Source organism: Homo sapiens, chromosome 13 (genome assembly GCF_000001405.40).
Source record: "Homo sapiens chromosome 13, GRCh38.p14 Primary Assembly".
Taxonomy (NCBI): domain Eukaryota; kingdom Metazoa; phylum Chordata; class Mammalia; order Primates; family Hominidae; genus Homo; species Homo sapiens.
In genome coordinates, this window is record NC_000013.11 from 95,140,948 (window position 1) to 95,163,009 (window position 22,062).

The window sequence follows — 22,062 nt, forward strand, 5'->3', positions numbered from 1 at the left end:
GACCATGACCTTAACTGTGTTCTCACCAGCATTCAAAACCTGGTTGCATTAAATAATACTGGTGGAGGCTCATAATGAAATAAAACCACTACAGGATCCCAATCTCTCGGGCAGTCATAGACTCTGCATCCCTCAGATGAAAAGTCGTGTTGCTCATCACTGAAAGGTTTCCTTACAGCTGAACAGATCTACTAGTTACAAATCTGAAATTGCAAATATTTTCACCAGAAAGGAGTAAAAGAGCTTTAATCCTCTGACATTACAAGTCGGAGGCAAAGGCAACAGCCAGCACAGGCTGAAGGGGTCAAGATATCAAATGTCATGAGATGTAATCAAAACGTTAAATGTTCTTAGACTGTTTAGGTCGATTTACTTTTCACTGAGTTTCACTTTGTTTCTCTTTTTGTCTAGATGCATTATTTATCATCCGGGTGTTTTTGCCCAAAATTTGTCCTCAAACTCAGCAAAGAAAACGAAAAGCTTCAAAAGTCAAAGAATTTAAGAATCCTCTGAGGTGCAGTATAAAAGCAGAGAACAAAGAATGTACCATAAATATAAAGCTCCACATGTAATCTCTCTGACTAAGTTGCAGCTTACACAAGGTGGGGGGTGGGGGGTATCAATGAAGTTTTTAATAAACCTTAACATATCTTAGCCCATTTTTGAAAAGAACCTTAGAAGTGAGACTGAGGGGAAATGGTAAAAATACCATAGTTATTCTACTTTGGGCCAAAAAAAGAGAAGCTAATCCAATCATCCAAGGAGCCAGTTGCTCCCTCAACAGAAAATGGCTGTGTTATTCAGTAAACCTATTTGTGTGTATTGACTCTTTCGTAAGAGACGGGGTCTTACGATGCTGACCAGGCTGGCCTCAAACTCCTGGGCTCAAGGGATCATCCTGAACCAGTCTCCTGAGTGGCTGGGACTACAGGTGTGCACCACAGTGTCCAGCTCTATCTTTTTCAGAGGACCATCAATACATAAAGGAAACTGGAAACTGGTTTTCCCTGAAGCAACAGAAATAGTGATATCTCTGCTGGTGGGAATGTAAACTAGTACAACCACTAAGGAAGACAGTGTGGAGATTCCTTACATAACTAAAAGTAGAACTACCATTTGATCCAGCAATCCCACTACTGGGTATCTACTCAGAGGAAGTCATTACGCGAAAAAGATACTTGCATGTGCCTGTTTATAGCAGCACAATTTGCAATTGCAAAAATGTGGAACCAACCCAAATGCCCATCAACAAGTGGATAAAGAAACCGTGGAATATAGATACGACAGAATACTACTCAGCCATAAAAAAGAATGAATTAATGGCATTTGCAGTGACCTGGATGAGACTGGAGACTATTATTATAAGTGAAGTAACTCAAGAATGGAAAACCAAACATCGTATGTTCTCAACTCATAAGTAGGAGCTAAGCTATGGGGATGCAAAGGCATAAGAATGACACAATGGACTTTAAGGACTTGAGGGGAAAGGTTGGAAAGGGGGTGAAGGATAAAAGACTACAAATATGGTGCAGTGTATCCTGCTTGGGTGAAGGGTGCACCAAAATCTCACAAATCACCACTAAAGAACTTACTCATGTAACCAAATACCACCTGCTCCCCAATAGCCTATGGAAATAAAAAAAAAAATTTTTAAATTTAACAAAAGATCATGAGTAAACCAGAAAAAAAAGAAATAGTGATATCTAAGGTACACACTTAAGTTTTAGAACAAAGAACAAATAGATGGCTAGAATTAGGATTAGATCTTATCATCATACTACTTGTGAAAAGGGTATGAGTAAAAATCAGTGTCTCACTATAAAATATCAAGCCTTGTGAAGACTAAATTAGAAGATTTATGAAACGCTATTTTCCGCAAATTTCCAAATACTGTTTGACTTCTACAGCAAACAAGAAAGAAAGCAAATCTCTTAAATTACTGCCAAAAAAATATAATAATAAGAAGAAGAAACAAGGAATAAAATGGATGATAGAAGAATCTCTGTCTTTCTCATCACCATGATTTATGGGTGGAGGAGGGCAAGTAGCTAAAAAGTGGGCCATGTACTAAAAAGCCTAGCTATATAAATAAAACAAGGCAAAGAAATTTTTCAGCTGGGGTCTCACCTGGATTGGTACATGTGTGACTCTAGGCTCACAAGCTCTGAGCCCAAGCCAGGTTTGATACTGAACCATCAACATTACTAATATGGTTTCTTCTGAGTAGACCACCAAGAGAATTCACCAATCTTTCGATTTCCCACATTTTTTCAGGCCTAGAGAACAGCTGGATGGGATTTCCACAAGCTTGAAAGGCACTTGGCTGTGGTTCTTCTAACAGGAACCTCCTGAGATGCCCCTTCTGACCATGTTATTCTGTCATTCAAAGTCTAACAATGATGAGTCCTATTAAAAGTTCAACTGCATTTCCAAAATAGCCTACATGAAATGTTCTAGATACATTTATAATTAAATCTAAAATTTATGAGAATGACCAAAGACATCTTGAAATAGTTAACAGGACTTCTAATTTGGAAGGATTTGAGAGTTTATTCTCTGTCTCCTTTCCCTCTTTCTCTCCTTTTTATTAAAATATAAATAAAAAGTTCTCCATTATCACTTTGGAGAGCTAAAAAAGGAAAAAATGTTCATACCAAAGACAGAATTATTTCCACTCCCAGTAGGACACAAATGCCAAGGAATAGCTATGGTAGCACCATTCCACAGTATCTCCTATGACACCAAACACTACAAATTTCAGAGCTAGCACTCTCCTAACATATGACCGGTTAAAAAATTATAAAAACTTGATTTAGAAAGTCATGCCAATGTACTGCTAGAAGTCTAGAAAACGTATGCCCATGATAACAGGCAAAAGTGATCATCTAGTTTGCAGAAGCAGTAACATTTACTACATAGTAAAAACTTTTTTCTCCCATTGTGGGACTAACTCATTTTCAAATGCTAAATCCTTCTGAAAATTGATAAAAGCAAGTTTATGTAACAGCTGAGTAAACATTTCAGAAGGTGAAGAAGACAGAGGTTAAAATATTTCTTAGTTTCACACATGTAACTCAAATTGGAATTCTTATATCAACATTACACACACACATACACATTCAGACAGATAAACGCATCCATTAGATACACACTGTGACACCTGTTATTTGTGATGGATTTTTCCAGGTCACACAAATTTGTCAAATTTTTAAACATATGATTAATAAGATATCCACATTCATTGGAAAGGAAGTACTATATTAAACGTAACTTAACCCTTATCTGAGGGGGTGAAGCATGATGATAACATAAAATATTATACTATATAGGAATGGGCGACATAACTTTAGAAAATGCCCAGGGACAAAGGCTGGAAGCATTCTCCTTGATAACCAGTAAGACAAGGAGGCCTACTCTCACTACACCTATTCAATACTGGAAGTCCTAGCCAGAACAATCAAGCAAGAAAAAGAAAGAAAAGGCAACCAAATAGGAAAAAGCAAGTCAAACTACCTCTCTTCGTAGACGACATGATTCTATACCTGGAAAACCCCATATTCTCTGCCCAACAGCTCCCAGATCTGATAAACAACTTCAGCAAAGTTACGGGATACAAAAATCAATGCATAAAATCAGTAGCATTTCTATACACCACTAACATCCAAGCTGAGAGCCAAATCAAGAATACCACGGCCACAAAAACATAAAATATTTAGGAACACAGGTAACCAAAGACGTAAAAGATCTCTACATCAAGAATTAGAAAACATGGCTGAAAAAAAATCAGAGACTACACAAACAAATGGAAATATATTCCATGCTCATGGATAGGAATATTGTCAAAATGGCCATACTGCCCAGAGCAATTTACAGATTCAATGCTCTTCCTATCAACCTACCAAAGCCATTTTTCACAGAACTAGAAAAACTATACTGAAATTCATATGGAATCAAAAAATAGCGTCCAAAGAGCCAAAGCAATCCTAAGCAAAAAGAACAGAATCTATAAGGAACTTAAGTTTACAAGCAAAAAACAAACAACTCCAGTAAAAAAAATGGGCAAAGGACAAAAACAGTCACCAAGCATATGAAAAAAAGCTCAACATCACTAAACATCAGAGAAATGCAAATCAAAACCACAATGAGATATCATCTCACACCAGTCAGAAGAGCTATTATTAAAAAGTCAAAAAATAACAGATGCTGGTGAGGTTGCAGAGAAAAGGAACACATATATACTGTTGGAGGAAATGGAAATTCAGCCATTGTGGGAAGCAGTCTGGAGACTTCTCAAAGAACTTAAAAGAAAACTACCATCCAACCTAGCAATCCACTACTGGGTATAGACCCAAAGGAAAATAAATCATTCTACCACAAAGACACACATGGCTGGACACGGTGACTTATGCCTGTAATCACAACACTTTGGGAGGCTGAGGCAGGCAGATCACTTGAGCCCAGGAGTTCAAAACCAGCCTGTCTGGGTAACATGGTAAAACCCCATCTCTACCTAAAAAAAAAAAAAAGAAAAAAAAATTAGGTACCACATGCCTGTAGTCCCAGATACTTGGAAAGCTAAAATGGGAGAATCACTTGACTCCGGGAGGTGGAGGTTACAGTGAGCTGAGATCTTGCCACTGCACTGGACAACAGAGGAGACCCCATCTCCAAAAAAAAAAAAAAAAAGAGACACATGCACTTGTATGTTTATCATAGCACTATTCACAATAGCAAACACAAGGAGTCAACTTAGGTGCCCATCAATGGTGGCCTGGATAAAGAAAATGTGGTACATATACACCATGGAATACTACGCAGCCATAGAAAAGAACAAACTTATGCCCTTTGCAGCAACATGGATGGAGCTGGAAGCCATTATCCCAAGCAAATTAACAAGAAACAGAAAACCAAATATCACATGTTTTCACTTACAAACAGGAGCTAAACATTTAGTACATGTGGACTCTGAGAAGGAAACAACAGGCCGGGCACAGTGGCTCACGGCTGTAATCCCAGCACTTTGGGAGGCCAAGGCAGGAGGATCACCTGAGGTCAGGAGTTCAAGACCAGCTTAGCCAATATGGTGAAACCCCACATCTACTAAAAATACAAAACCAGCTGGGCATGGTGATATGCGCTTGTAATTCCAACTACTCAGGAGACTGAGGCAGGATAATTGCTTACACCCCAGAGGCGGAAGTTGCAGTGAGCCAAGATTGCGCCACTGCACTCCAGCCTGAGTGACAGAGCAAGACTCTCTCAAAAAAAAAAAAAAAAAGAAGGGAACAACAACAGATTCTGGGACCTACTTTATGGTAGGAGGAGGGCAAGGATCAAAAAATTACCTATCAGGTACTTTGCTCATTACCTGGGTGACAAAATAATCTGTATACCAAACCCTCCACCACATGTAATCTACTCATGTAACAAACCTGCATATGTACCGTCTGAACCAAAAATAAAAGTTGGAAGAAACAAACACAGGAAAATACCCAGACAGAATTCACAAGACAGTAACCGGTTACCTTATGCAAAATTCCCAGCACACTCCTGGCCTACCAAGATGCTTAATAAATGCTGTTATAATCTGCAGTCTGATTAATGATTTATGGCAATCATTTAATTTTCAATTACAGGCATCACATCCCTGCGGTTGCCACATAAAAACCGATAGGGACAATAACAAGAGTATTGGGCAAGAAGGCAAAGAAGAGGGTGGATCTACTGTGTGGATGCTCAGAGGCAGAGAGACTGCAACAGATTTCTTGTTGCTTTGTTGCTACTGCAGATGAAACAAGACAACGGAAGTGACAGAAGTTTTATAAGCTTAAGTTGTCAAATAAATTTATAATGTTGCTATAAAATTATAAGACACAGGGCAAGATTCCAAATGTATTGTACCTCTGGCTGATCCTCAATTTGGTAGAGAACTAGAATGCAACTGCCAGAAACCAAAACCTCTGTCCTACAACAGACCTCTAAAACATTCAAGGGTGGGGCAAAACTATTATAAAAATCCTCTGATGTCTTACAAACAACCTATTTTTGACTTTCTTAAGCTCTTATCAAATTATTTCTAAAAGAGTTGCACAGAATGAGAGAATCATCGCAGTTCAGAGCTGAGGGCCTTTCTGACATTACTGAGGTTGAATCCTAAGACTCTGGACTAGTTGGGTGTCTCTGCCTGAAGACACAACTATCTGGCAAGCAGGTGGAAAATTAGTAGGTGTCCTATCTTCATTTAGGTCTCTCCACCCCAAATTCTATTTTTTATATATCACAATGCTAGTATTATATCCAGTCAGTACTTTACGGCATTTTAATTGTTAGTTTATTAATGGTAATAGTGCAGTAACAGGAGTTATCTATGTTTGGCTTATAATTCCTTTAAATGTCTTAAAAACATAATTTATAGTTTACAAGAACTAACCAGAAATCTCATTTTCTTCCCAGGTTGCTTTAAACATATTTTGCGCAAGAGGAAGTTTTAAAATATCAGAATGTCCATCTGATAGAAATGTAGAAAGATTGCCCAGAATTAACTGGAGTGATCAAACCACAGACTGTCTCTAAAAACATCCCATGAATAAAATTTGAAGGCTCAACAATCTAAAACTGCCTTAGGTCAACTTTAACTTTCACTTGTGAAATTTGTCATTTTTCATGCTTTTTGAAAAAGGTGAATACATAGAATTTATACATTTGGACTAGTTATAGCATTTTTTAAAAATAATGTAAGTTTCTCCTACTCCTAAGAAGTATATCCACTTCTCTGGAATAATTCCAATATTCCATTTAAATAGAACTTATTTTACAAAATTTCAAACTCTCTTTCCTTAATTACACAATAGACTTCTGTACTCAACTTCAGCTGTATCGTTTTCAAACAAAAAGTAAACCAGATGTTTGGTACTTACATGCAAAATTGAGCTCTCATTGTAAAACCAAATTAAATTTAAAATTAACTCTGGAATGAAGCTAAGCCCCATTGAAAACACAACCAAAAAGAAAACATGCAAACAAACAAAAAAAATACTCTATTGATTTTCTTTTGTGGCTTGTTAGTCTTGGTCATTTATCTATTTTTCTTTGCATCCAGGAAAACACAGACACCCTTCCCAGACTCCTATTGTTTCATCAAAACTAGCAAATTTGGAATTTGTACATTTTTTAAGACTACTAAAATTTCATCATCTCAATTAGTCAAAAAAATCAATTTTTAGCTGTTAGGTACCATATCAAATGCTTTTCATATATTGATTCTCTTAATTGTCACTCACACAAAAAAAGGATTGTACTGTTAATATCATCGCCATACTACAAATAAGTTGAAGCAGAAAGAGTTTAAGTAATTCAGCAAGGAAGAGCTGAGATTCACATTTGGGCAGGCTGATTCTAAAGTCATGCTTTTTACCAAAAGGGTACCATGGATCCCAAATCATATAGTGATTTAAATCCCCTATTAGAAAATAAAGAAAAATCCTTCCATTTGCTGGTGGGTGAAGTCAAAGGACATCTTATTTGCTGATTAATTTTCAAATTTTAAATTTCACATATTATTAAGAGAATCCAAAAATATAATTCTTATTGTGGTGGGACAAGCTAACTAAAAAGTCTCTCTCTCCCTCTCCCCTACCCATCACAACACACACACACACACACACACACACACACACACACACACACACACAATCAATGCTTCTTAAGATAACTGTTTTGATCAAGAGGCTCTTAAATGACAACCAAAGTTCTCTCTCATTTGACATCAAATGAAAGTGGACATGAGAATTAAAGGGAGAGAAAAGATGAGCTGTATTAGAAAAAAAATACCCCATGTTTATCCAAAAATGATGAGGTACTTATTTTGCCATATAAAATTTCAAACCCTAATCTCATCTAGAACATTTAGCTACTTTGGTACAGCAATAACTAATGGAAGAAGACATACCTGAAGGCTAGGTCAATTGAGCTTTAAACTCCTACAGCTTCTCGTGTGTGAAAGGAGATGAGAGTGGTTAGAACATTTGGCATCAAGGGAAATTAAAGCTTCTTCTGTTCAGTTTTTAAAATTCTCTAACGTATGAGCTAAATCTATTCATCTGGTCTAAAGACTTGACAATTCCTTAACAAACAGCAGCTTATCTGATTGTACGATAAAACTGCTGATGGCTGGATTACACAGGTGTTCCCTTTTATTACCCCGGCTATTTATGTCAACAACTATTTATTTAATCTTAAAGTGAAAGAAGAACACTTTTCTAGTGACACTGATCACTCATGATCCTGAAATGTATGTGTTGATTTTCCTTTCATTTACAGGACCACGTCAAGACTAACTTTTCCAACTTGGCACCAATAAGAAATACTTCTGTCTACAATACAGTTCATTGGTAGAACTTATTAAACTATACTTGACTCCCTTTTCATTTTCATGCTAAGTAATAGGGAGTATATAGAGAAGATTTATATTCGCATGGGATAATTGTAAGATGTCACTACCATTTTATTCTCCAAAAAGAGAAGAAGAATACATTTATAGTTCCCCCAAAGGAAATAAATTTTATGCGCCCAGGCCATTCTGACACCAACAGGAGGAAAAAAAAATTAAAAATAATGACTACTTTTAAAAAAGCAACCATTTCCTTCCTTCTCTACTTTTAAATATGTAAAGGTAATGAAAAAAAATAATCCATGATTGTAACTATGCCTCAAAGCACTGCTGCTGATCAAGGCGTGTGGAATTGTATGTGGAGAAAATATATTTAAGGGTAAATCTGCTTCAACTATATTCCCTGTTCCAATATCATTGTGCGGAACACAGAAAGAACTGGGTATGCTATTTTTTCCTCCAACTCCCAAAATCTCTGAACTCTTCTATTATGTGCTTCAATCAGAGTGAGGAATGAGACCAGTCACTGAAGCAAAAGAACATTTCTATAAACTTCCACCTGAAGTTCAGAGAGAAGTCTGATTAGCTACTATCAGGCTGAAGATCAACCAGGGGAGATATACTGTTTTCTCAGATGTTGCTGCACAGTTTTAGAGACAGGGTCTCATTCTGATTCCTAGGCTTGGGGGGGCAATACAGTAATCATAGCTCACTGCAGCTTCTAACATTTGGGCTCAAGCAATCCTCCCACCTCAGTCTCACGAGGAGCCGGTACTATAGGCACACACCACTGTGCACAGCTAATTTTTTTTAGAGATGGGGTCTTGCTATTGTCCGAGCTGCTTTCAAACTCCTGGCCTCAAGCGATCCTCCTGCCTGAGCCTCCCAAGTAGCTGGGATTATATGACATGAGCCACCATGCCTGGCGAGCATGACTGTATTTGGAACACTGTCTGCCTAAAGATTTCTAAACACCAGAACAAGTCTAAGACAGGCTTTCCAGGTGTTCAAGAGGTGCTGGAACATTTGCCTATGTGATATAATCTATTAAAATGCAAATGCAAACAAGACATGAAAGGAAAATGTTTCCAGAACAGAGAACTTGTTTTTAATAAACTTCCTCTCAAAAATGTCCTGTTTTTTTCCTCCCCCTCCCTCCCCCTTCCCCACTGCCAGGGCCTCAAAATGTACTTTGAAGCTTGTCGAGTCTTTATTTGAGATATGAAAGAGCTTCTATTTAAACGAGGAAGAAATTTCTCAAACATTAATCCTGGTGACCAAGAATGAGAACACTCAGTGAATCATAGTTGAATTTCATGATAACATTACTTACAGGGAAAATATCATTACTTATGTTCTTTCTCCTATCAATACTTCTAAAAGCCCAAAGCGTGTACAGGTACTTGTAAAGGGCAACACTGGAAGTCCCTCCCCTTTCTCCAACACACTTTCCTAAGCTGAGCTGTAGCACTTAGACCTCCCCCAGTGGCTCAGAAAAGCATCTAGGCCCAGTCAAGAGTCTAGCTAGAAATTGTTGTGAGTCCACTTGAAGCTTAGAGATTATGATCTGAAATAAAGAATCATTTATTTTGTTTCCTGAACACCTCTGCTACTCCCACTGGTATGATTTCTTTTGAACACAATTGGTTTTGAAGTGCCAAAAGAACCATTTTTGGAAATTTTATAAAATCAAGGCCAATGAATTATGAAGAAGACATATCTGATGGAGCTATGCTCATGTGTGTTGTATCTAGAAAAGTATCTAGACTTCCATTTGGCAGCTGCATTAATTTTAATATGCATCTTTTTGATATGAGATCATAGATTCTGACACAGGATGGTTTTTAGAAGTAATCCATTGTTGGTCTAGTGTGGTGGCTCACACCTGTCCCAGCACTTTGGGAGGCTGAAGGCAGATCACTTGAGGTCAGGAGTTCAATACCAGTCTGGCCAACATGGTGAAACTCTGTCTCTACTAAAAATACAAAATCAGCCAAGTGTGGTGGCATATGCCTGTAGTCCCAGCTACTCGGTAGGCTGAGGCAAGAGAATTGCTTGAGCCCAGAGGGCGGAGGTTGCAATGAGCTGAGATCACACCACTGCACTCCAGCCTAGGCAACAGACCAAGACTCTGTCTCAAGAAAAAAAAAAAAAAAGAAGAAGAAGAACAAAGAGGAAAGAAGGAAGAAGGAAGAAGAATGAAGAAGGAAGGAGGAGGAGGAGGAGAAGGAGAAGAAGGAGGAGGAGAAGGAGAAGAAGGAGGAGGAGAAGGAGAAGGAGAAGAAGGAGAAGAAGGAGGAGAAGGAGAAGAAGGAGAAGAAATCATCATCATCATCATCCACTGTCGGCAACTATTTAAGTTTGCAAGTCCCTTGAAAACAGGTACTTTTGTTTCAATGTTTGGGACCACAACTGACGATGAGTAGAAGACCAAGAAATGCTTGATGAATGAAAAAGCCACTTTTTACCTGTTAGAACCCTGAGGCTAAGAGAAGTAATGTGACCGACTTAGTTACCACAAACTATGATCCTAGCAGAATTGGGGCATCTCAACACCTCAACTCCCTGTGCAAGAACAGATTTTCAATGTCTACTGATGATTTTAAATGGATTAATTCCTCTCTTTACTTCTTAAGGGCATGAAGTTTATGAAACAAAACTATACAGTACCAGACGCTTAACCCACAGAGTGTTAAAAGTCACCTTCAACACACAACTAAACCCCCAAAAAAGTTATTAGGTGTTTGACAGTTTCATTTCTTTGACTGGTAAACAACAGGAGAACTTGGTCTAGTTCCATGAATCACAGCTTCCAAAGAACCAATGTACGGTTTTTCTCTTCAGGCCATCACGTATCAGAAACAAAGTCCACCAAAGTAATCTATTACAAACTGTACTTTTGAAAAAGAAAATTGGAAGCAAGAGTTAAATTTAATATAAGTACCAGCTGTAAGACAAAAAACACTCTAATTTTATTTCAACACTGTAAAGTCCCATTGTTCTTTATGGGTGTTGCTTAAAGAGATGCAAATGCACTCTTGGAACTATTTCTTGTTCTGTCCAGCCAACAAATATTTACTAATCAGATACAGTGTATCCAATCCTGGGCTCAGGGGATTTAGCAAGGAAACAACAGATAAGCTCCAAGAAGACAAGGGGAAAACAAGGCAAGGAAGACAAGGGGGAAACAAGGCTAACATAAGACAAGGGTGGTAAATACGTAATTACCTAAATTAGAATGTAACTATCATTTTCATAAACACTATCAAAAACTTGATAAAAGCAAAAATGTTTTAAACTTCATGGAAAACAAAATGTCACAACCTCAGCGTTGTAAATATTCTGATTTTTTTTCCACTGTCTTCATGGCAATATAAATAATCATGTTTATAATAAAGGGGGAAGGAATAAAATAATGGAATAAGAAAACTCCAATTATAAGTGAAAATCAGTTCTCATATAAAACTCAAATTAAACTCCAGTTATAAATGGAAAACTCTCAAATTAAAACTCCAATTATAAATGAAAACCAGAGTTCTCATATGAGAACTTCAAAGTCAAATCTTTGAGGGGAAGCAGTTGGCCTTACAGTAAAACAGAACAGCGTTTCAAGCTAGCAAATCCCAACAACTTCCACTTAGTGTCCAAAAACTATGCTTTATACATATTAGGCTCTCAGTAATATACTTATCAATATTTATTCATGTTGAAATCGGCCACTGCAAGTGGCTAATGGAATATCATTAGGTTATTCCAGAAACAGTGTTCTATTTTCCCTTGAAATGGTTATCCAACAGCTAAGAACTAAGTCATGAAGATACTTTGATTCTTTTCTGACAATAAGGTCACAGAGAACTATAATGTTGATCTAACAGTGGGGGACAGTTTTAAATGACAATACTTGAATTACTATTATCAGTCACACATCCCATAGGCTAATGCCAAATTACTAAGCACACATTAACAGCAGATATTGGGATATGCTACAAAGCCCTGAGTTCCAAGTTAGCTAGTTCCAAGTTAGCCGAAGATAAAGATAAAGACAACACATATCAAATCAGTTAATGGGGGGGCGTTAAAACCATAGCCACGGACATTAGACTGAAGTGGAGAACTTACATATATCGAGAGAGACAGAGAGAGAGAGATACAGGCATATACAAATACATGCAGGTATCACATTATATACACTATAGGAAAACAATTTAACACAGTTAAGTAAAATGTCATCTTATAATTTCCTGAAATATTACATGATTATCACTTTGAACAAAGCACATTCTTCCCTAGTTTTTTATCTTTTTAACATTTTATTGGACAAACACAGTGCTTTCTCTGTTACTAAGTTGTCAGTATCTCCATGTATGATTTATTATGGAGAAAAACCATGAATCAGAACATTCTAGTAGATTAAAAATTATGCCAAAATGATGCAATATTTACCAGCTGTAGACAAGTGCTACAGTAATCGCTTACATACAGATTACTGACAAAATAACAATAGCAATCAAATATATGTAACTACGTAACTATTTAAACTCCTAACAAAGGCTTTTATGATACTATTAGCAGTAAAGGAGCAACTCCCATAAAATATGACTTCGTATCACCCCTGATAAGAGTTTAAGTACATATAACCATTGTTATGTGAAAAAAACATTATTTTTAATTTGTGATAACCCGACAGGATTTAATTACCACACCTACTTCAAACTCTTAGCTGTTTCATTCAAAGCTGAAAAAACAATATTTATGTGGCTATTGAGAATCATTATGATTGATGCAATCTTTTGTGTTATTCCCTTTATAGTCACTTGCATTTGTTATTATTAACAAGAAAAAATGAAAGGGGAAATGTGTGTTTTTGTTTTGCAACAAAGCTTTTCTGGTGATGACTAACTTCTTCCTTTGAACACAAAAAGCCTCTTAAACTAACTAATGTACATATAAATGTGTTCTTTACAATACGCATCAGGCAAGGGGGTGGGAGGGAAAGCCCGCAGGACTTAAGCCAGAATTAAAAGCAATATAGGCAAGATTGAGTACATGAAAGCTGTCAGGACGGTTGTTATTCTCAATTTCTTACAGCTCATCTGCTCTCAAGGAAGAAAAATCATAGTTTCTTTTAACCATATCCACAACAGATCTCACTTGAAAGGAAACATAGCGAGTGATTTGGCATCAATGGGCATATTACCAATTTTCCAGCATCACTACTGAATATTTATACTGGTGACGAATGATGACACTGAGGAAATATTTTAGCACGAAGCTTTGCCTTGTAAATTGTCTGAATGGTGCTGTGTCAAAACAACACCTACCATAAATCAGAGGTTTTAGGACCAGTATTTCTTGTTTAAACATGCTACCTGCTCAGCAGAATCACTTGTGTGAACAGGCATAGATTAATGTGTGCTGGGCAGAGCCATCTTACCCCCTAGCTTATAGAGCTATAATTTAACAAGCCTATTATTGTAGAGGTAATTTTGACAGTGCTGAAATATTATACTTGTTAAAAATGCACATTTAGCACCAACTCCAGTGGTCATTTGAACTGAATAAACAGATAAATAGGTATCCCTACAATTATGTTTCTTCTTTATTGATGACTCTTTTTTTCTGGCAAGGAAGTGGGATATGGACATCAGATTTTATAGAGTATCGCAAGACAGTCTTTCTGATCATATAAAAAGCTCATCATGGAGGTTGCTTTCAGTTCTCCACAAATTATTTAGCAACTTGTAGTGGATTCCAGAGTCCCTTTCCAGGTTTCAGAAACAGAACAATAGTTCAAACCACTACCACCCTCCTCCCCTCAATTCCTGTAGGATGCACATCCTAACTTCCCATTCAGTCAAGCTGGGAAGGAATCATTCTTTTTTTTTTTTTGGAGACAGGTTGGAGTGCAGTGATGCAATCACAGCTCACTGCAGTCTTGACCTCCCAGACTCAAGTAATCCTCCTGACTCAGCCTCCCGAGCTGCTGGGACTACAACCACGCCTGGCTAAAAGCTGAGAATCTTAATCACTGGGGCAACCCTCGATTTTTGATTAGGGAACATAGGAGAATATGTCTATCTTAAAATCTAGTACTAGCATTCGCATTCCATACCTCAGTGACCACAAGCATCTTCCACTGGATTAAAAAAAAGAAACATGGGAAGAAGTCAATATGTTTCTTTTTTCTTTTATCTAGTGTTTTAGCTCTCATTTACCTTAATCTATAAAGAAAAAAGAATGATATGAATCTGGTTTTTTTGTTACACTGTTGAAGGCATCGATGAACATAAATATACATACACACACATACTCCCCACGCACACACTGGAGAAAAACCAGTTGTGTAAAACACACTGGCTGTAACCCAATATTAACTTTTACTTCCCTGAGAGAGTAAACAAACACTTCTACCAACACCAGCTCTTGGGTTCTTAAAGCCAAATTAACAAATTGAAAGCAAGTAAACATTTATCTGGCACCCATTAGAGTCAGTGTACTTAGCTAAATGTTATGTCACCATAATTAGGCATGAGAAAACAGGACAACAAACCGCTCATCTTTTCTCCAAAACAAAGAGTGAAATTGTAGAGACCTGATAAGAATAAAATGTCTCTGCTAACTCTGTTGGCGTGGAAGAAAACTAAAGAAACTAACTGTGTAACTATCTTTCTCTGCAAACTCATGCTTACAAAGAAAACAGAAACATCATACAAGCAAATCATAATGTATGCTTCAGGAATTAAAATGCATCCAACCACTCAAGATGTCAGCGTCTGCCTATTCCAGTTACTAGTCAAGAAGGTGTAATTAGGAAATCCAAAAAAACCCTGTTTGAAATGCTAGGTATTCCAGGACAACATCAGAAAAATATCTTCCACAAAGACTTTCATGTTTCAAACATAATACGCCACAATATTACTTTTTAAATTTCATATTAACACATATCAAGATACAAAGACCCAAGCTATAAAAATAGAATTTCCAAGAAAGCTTTAAATTAAAAACCAGGTTTTGCAATGAGGTGCTCTTACATTATATCACTGAAATACTGCAGATCATGCTGCCCTCTTGTGCTGGATATCAAAAGCAAAATTAATTCTGCCCATGCCAGGAAAACAGGATTTACATTTAAAATAAAAATCATCTCTTAATTTCTGAAGACTTACTCTTGACCTAGGATTTGTGTTACCCATTTATTATGATTGGAACAGAACGGAAACAGGGCTAAGACACACACAAAAACTGACTAGGAAGAGGTAGATGCAGCGAACAGTACCAGAAAATATCTGCAAATGCCCTATTCAACTCAGGTCATAATCAAAATATGAAGGAGGTGTCCGAGGGCAGCTGAAAATGTAAGGCTTCTTAACAGACACACGTGATCCCATCACCAACCTACATCAAAAGAGGAAAGAATAAAAACTAGCAATGGGTGAGAGGAGGATAAAAAGACGAGAAAGGAAAACCGGCTCTTGGCAGGGCGCGGTAGCTCACGCCTGTAATCCCAGCACTTTAGGAGGCCAAGATGGGTGGATCACCTGAGGTCAAGAGTTCGAGATCAGCTTGACCAACATCATGAAACCCCATCTCTACTAAAAATACAAAAATTAGCCAGGTGTGATGGTGGACACTGTAATCCCAGCTACTCGGGAGGCTGAGGCAGGAGAATCACTTGAACCTGGGAGCCGGAGGTTGCTGTGAGCTGAGATCACGCCACTGCACTCCAGCCTGGGCGACAGAGTGAGACTCTACCACACACACACACACACACACACACACACACACACACACACAAACAGTCACCATTTGTCCACTGGTGGTCACCTTGGATGAATGTGTGTCCATTCTTGCTGGGGGCCCAGCCCGCTCCCAACAGCAGACAGAGCATGGTTGCCCCTCAGACCCAGCTCCACATTGCTCGTCAGTACTTGGCTTCTTGGGAAAACTGCTATCTCAGTACCAATAGGAGGTAAAACCCTGTCTCTACTAAAAATACAAAAAAAAAAAAAATTAGCCGGATGTGGTGGCAGACACCTGTAATACCAACTACTCAGGAGATAGACACATGAGAATTGCTTGAACCCAAGAGGTGGACATTTGCAGTGAGCTGAGATCATGCCACTGCACTCGACTGGGCAACAGAGCAGGAAGAAAGGAAGAAAGAGGAAGGAAGGAAGGAAGGAAGGAGAAAAGAAAGGAAGGAAGAAAAGAAAGAAAAGAGAAAGAGAGAGAGAACTGGCTCTTGTCATTCTAAGGCAGCACACTGGTTTGGCTCACATTTTATCCTGCTAGCTTAAGATTTATCAGGTTAACGAAAGGCCAGTAGATAAAAAGGTATTGTATTATATAAACAAAGATGAATTTCATGCAACCATAGGTGGGTTCGAAATGGAGAGGAACTTAATATCTGGCATGTTGGAGAAGCGTGGCCTTCCTAGAAACAGAAACTTCAGGCCGGGCGCGGTGGCTCACGCCTGTAATCCCCACCACTTTGGGAGGTGGAAGCGGGCAGATCACGAGGTCAGGAGATCGAGACCATCCTGGCCAACACGGTGAAACCCGTCTCTACTAAAAAAGTACAAAAAATTAGCCGGGCGTGGTGGTGGGTGCCTGTGGTCCCAGCTACTCTGGAGGCTGAGGCAAGAGAATGGCATGAACCCAGGAGGCAGAGCTTGCAGTGAGCCAAGATCACGCCACTGCACTCCAGCCTGGGTGACAGAGCAAGACTCCGTCTCAAAAAAAAAAAAAAAAAAGAAACAGAAACTTCGCTGCTGAGAAGAAACACAGACCTTCCAGGTTTACCTTCCCCTTCTCCCTAAATCCAAATAAGTGAACTTGGGACCACAGTGGGGCAGTCAGGGGGACCCTTCCAGAAGGTCTGGTTCTCTGAGTCACCAGCAAGGGTCGCCCATTCATTAACCACACAGATGAGGATCTGGGCAGAAGCATGATGAGGGGGATGGCACACTGGGGTGGGAGTGGACATAAAATAATGGAGAAGACATTTCTATGCTGCAGACCAGAGTCACTGAGAATATTCCAGCACAAGGGCACTGGAGATGGGGATATGAGGGACGTCTAGCCAGACCCCCGGTGTGAATCACCTGGAGTTTCTGTGCCAGTCACCATCCCAAGGTGAGCTTACTGGAAACTACATGCCAGCAGAGGTCCTCCCCGTTTCCTAAGTTTTCTAAAACCTGGGAGAATATCAGGATGCTGAGCTCATAGGAAACTCCCCCGGGGCTCTTCTAAGAGCTTGCTTTTAATAACTAAGTATTCAGACATGCTTCCCAGTCTTTCTACCCCACTCAAAGAACACTCTGCAATTCAGGGGGCACAACATCATGCCAGATACTTATACATATTTAACATGTATGTTTAAGAGTACTGAAAAATCGAGCATGCCTGCCTCACTATCATAGAGGGGAATTTTTATTTATATTATAAAGCCGGCTGGGTCCAGTGGCTCATGCCTGTAATCCCAGCACTTGAGGAGACTGAGGCAGGAAGATCCCTTGAGCACAGGAGTTCGAGACCAGCCCGGGTAACATAGTGAGATCCCATCTCTTCAAAATAGAATAAAATAAATTTTAAAAATTAGCTGGCCATGGTGACACAGGCCTGTGGTCCCAACTACTTGGAAGGCTGAGGCAGGAGGATCGCTTGAGCCCAGGAGGTCAAGGCTACAGTGAGCTGTGATCACATCACTGCACTCCAGTCTAGTCAACAGAATGAGACCTTATTTCTAAATAAATTTTATATATATATATATATATATATATATATATATATATATAACTATTGAAGTGCATACAATCAGTAATGTGAATTCTGAGGCGTAATTCACAGATTTTGTGTATCCTTCACCATTGTAAAAAGTGCAAAAATTTTATCTAAATGAAAATTTTAATTCTACCATTAAAAAACTTTTAATTTTTACATTTTTTCAACATCTACCACTAAAAAAAGTAAATAATTCATGACCTCTAAACATTTTGGACAAAGTAGACCTCTCTTGGGGTACTTATTTGGGCTTCTATTTTGTTGAAGGAATAAAGTCATGCTAATAGATATAGGAGGAGGAAGCAAGATAAACACTCAGGTGCTGCTGTAAGATTAGTCACCTCCAAGATTTAGACTGGGTCCCAAATCCCTGAATAATAAATAAATCAGCATGAGGAGAAGCCCACAGGTCTCAAACATGGAGAGGCTGGTTAATGGTAGTCATGAGCATTCCGAGGCCTGTGATAACAGAAAGGCAGTCCCACTTAATGCTCCAAATGTTATGACTGTAGTTTCAAATTAACTGGCAAAGTGGCGCAACGTTACAGCTGTAATAGCGCAGAGGTCCTCCAATGACTTTCTAATAACAGCTGAAATCAGACCGATATTTGTGTGGTCTCTGCAGTTTACAAATCCTTGCACGTTGCACAGTGCTTGGACTGAAAAGTATTTGTTAAATAAATCTACACAAGATGCTTTCCAGAACAGTCTTCTTTAATCTTCACAAAAATCATGTAAAACAGAGAGGGTAGGAGTAATTTCCACCCCACAGTGAAGGTGATTCAGTTCACAGATACATGGCTTCATTGTCACTAACATTCGTTAGGCACTGACCATGTTGCTACACCCAGTTTCATGTGCTAGGAATGTATTAACATGCTTAATTCTCATAAGATTTCAATTTGGTGGGTATGAATAGTATCCCTATTTTACAGATAAGAAAACTGTGACACAGAAAAATTAAGTAACTAGGACATGAATATGAATGTAACTATAATCAGCTATAACAATTAGTAACCAGCACCAGGATTGAACCCAGGTAGTTAGCTTGAGTTCACACTTTGAACTACAGCATCTGCTTGGAGACTTGCCTGTGTAATAGCACCTATGTGCTCTGGCCTTGGTCAAAAAGCTAGTCAATGGCCAGGCCAAAGCTGTGCCTGTGTTCTCTCCAGGCCACCTCCCTGCTTCTATGAGGGCAGTTATCATTTGCACAATGTCACTCAGGCCTCCCCACAAGTCCACTCAACTGAGCAGGGTGGGGACTTATAGGCACAACTAATTCTCCCTAGGAACCCAGGTCAGGAAGGCTAGCCTCAGAAGCAGGACAGATAAGAAGCGCATAGTGCAGAGGCATCAACCACTTGGAAAATACTGGGTATAGTTGGGTATACCTAGGAAACAAGCTACTGAAGATCTATATGGCAGGTTCAACAAAGTCTCTATTATAGAACCAAAAGTCTACTTCAAAACCACAGAGTTAGAAACTGTTCTTGAAGGGGAGTTTACATTTTATCAATCTTGGCTTTTAATTAACCACATATTATCTTTCAGGGAAACCTCACAGTCAGGGTATGTACAAAAACCCTGTGTTTCCAGAAATGAACGGGTTTCCCAATGAAAGAAAGAAATGCACGGCCTGTCTCACGTCAGAGCATTCCTGATTACAAAGATCCCTCTGAAAAATGGCATAACCTAACACTATGTAAACACAGCCAATGTTTAGCAACTATTCAACTACATTTAAACATGTTTACAGGGAATGCAGGATGCTTCACTTGCCTCACAGCAAATGGATTCCTAAAGCATTCTGCAAAGTGAACATTCATTTATTTTTCCACACACATATAAATTGGAATAAAAGATTGTATGCCCCCCCCTCCCCCCGCATATTTAGATTTTCTCTGGTAGGAGAAAAATATCAGTGAAGTTTCTTGTGGAAAATGAATCAACATGCATAGTGATTTTCTTCCCAGCATCCCTTCCATTTTCAAAGATGGAAATGTAATCAGATCCTAAATGTGTTGTTAACAAGACATACTTACTGAGAAACTTGGTGTCAGACTTACCTATTGGATTTCTATCAAAGAATAATACCGGAGCTTTCAGAATTGACTCAAACATTTTGTTGTGCAAAGTTTGTGAAGAGTTAACAAGGACGTAGAATACCAATAGAGATCTTGCTATGCCAAAAAGAACGGTAGCTACAGTTAAACCTGAAATAAAGAAATATCACTTAGAGAACACAGCATATCTCTGCATTTTCTTCAATAGTTGCTAAAGCAAGCCAGGTAGTTTATAAAGATGTTACTTAATTTATTCCATAAAGCATCTGGATTCTACATAAGTATAATGTATTTACAAAATACATTGACAAAGAAGGATTAAAATAGTTTATTTTTCTCTCACTGAATGGAAACTGCACAGAAAAGAAAAATCAGGTGTATAATACAATTTCATTCTAGGCTCTAATTCAATTGCAAGTTCTATTAAAAACTCAGAAGTAGGATAGATAATCATGAAGTGTAGTTGATCTTCTCCATATTCCAAATCTTATTACTTACATTATGTCCCATAATCTAAAAAAGGTGGTATGTTTTGATACCAACATGTGATATTAACAAGGAATAGGAGAAATGATTTACCTTTTCCTTGTAGAAAATGCCCAAGTAGCTTTAAAGAATTTAAAAATACCGTATTAAGTTGCATGTGGAAAACCTCTTGAATAATTGAATTGCAAGAAAACACAAATTATATTTTAACATAAGATAATTAATCTAAATAAGCAACTAATCCCCCACTGTTTTACATAGACACAAGACATTTTTAAATGAATAAAATAAATCATACATTTTATTAAGACATGAATGAGGATCCATTATTCACATAGAAATTAAAAGAGCTTTCCTAACATCTCTTCATTCACAATGCTAAATACAGTGGGGGTAACTTCTATAACAAATATTTCCCTTTCAGATGACATGTCACTGTTATTTAACCTCTGAAAGCAGCTCAAATTCCTAACTCCATCAACGGGCATTATCCTTAGCCTGCCATCCTACACGAACATAATAGAACATAATAGATTTCCTTCTTCCTTTAGTTTCCACATAGTCCATCAGTTGGAAGGTAAACACCTAACAGATTTAGATTTCTTAGCAAGCGATCGATGAAATAAACACCAAATTTCACTGAGTAGGTTCTTACAAAGATAACTCACTCTATCTCTGAGGAAAGCTTGTAGGAGCATTTCCTGTGGAAATATTTAAAATTTTAGATGAAGATTTTCTTTAAACAGTATGTAATGCTACATACATTCTAAGCACTCTTGTGAAAACAGAGTGTGGCGTTAATATTAGTCTGGCAAGCCAAATGTTAAATTAATCACACAGTTGGGGACGCGATAACATTGTGATCTCAAGGTAAGAAATAGAAGGCATCCTAATTCCCAGACACTGGATTTTTCCCTGCTCAGCTTCCCTCTTAAGTAATTAGTGAAGCCCAGGAGATGAGCAGTGCTGAAGGGAGCTTTGCATACCTGGGAGGGAATAATGCTTTTATTTTGGGGGCCTTGCTGCCAGAGGATTTCATCCAAGTTCAATAAAAGCCAGGGTTTATTTAGACAGAATTGGAACCATCCGAACCACAGGGTGGAGATCCGTTTCTAATCCCCCTGCCCATCCGTATAATGATATAAGATTTAGCTAAAGCAACCTATTAGAATAGACAATAGCCACATATTTCCAGTGGCTGATTTTCTGAATGCTCAATCCTGGTTTAACTTTCAAAATCCAGTACAGAGCAAATTAAGAGTCTTCAGTCAACCTCTCTTCTAGTAGATTTTTAAAATAATTATTCTAATTAATTCACAGAGTAAATTCGACTGAGAC

General features: G+C 38.2%; 1 protein-coding gene across 7 annotated transcripts in view; it reads right to left on the minus strand.

Annotated features, from left to right (window-relative positions):
- ABCC4 (ATP binding cassette subfamily C member 4 (PEL blood group)) overlaps positions 1–22,062 on the minus strand; it is a 281,617-nt gene that overhangs the window by 121,113 nt on the left and 138,442 nt on the right. For 6 of the 7 annotated variants that reach the window (NM_001301829.2, NM_005845.5, XM_047430034.1 and 3 more), the window contains one exon: positions 20,242–20,388. In NM_001301829.2, coding sequence (NP_001288758.1) covers positions 20,242–20,388 — 147 coding nt within the window. Of the gene's footprint in view, positions 1–5,255; positions 16,376–20,241; positions 20,389–22,062 lie in introns of those variants that run through there. The other variant, XM_017020320.3, reaches the window with a different exon arrangement.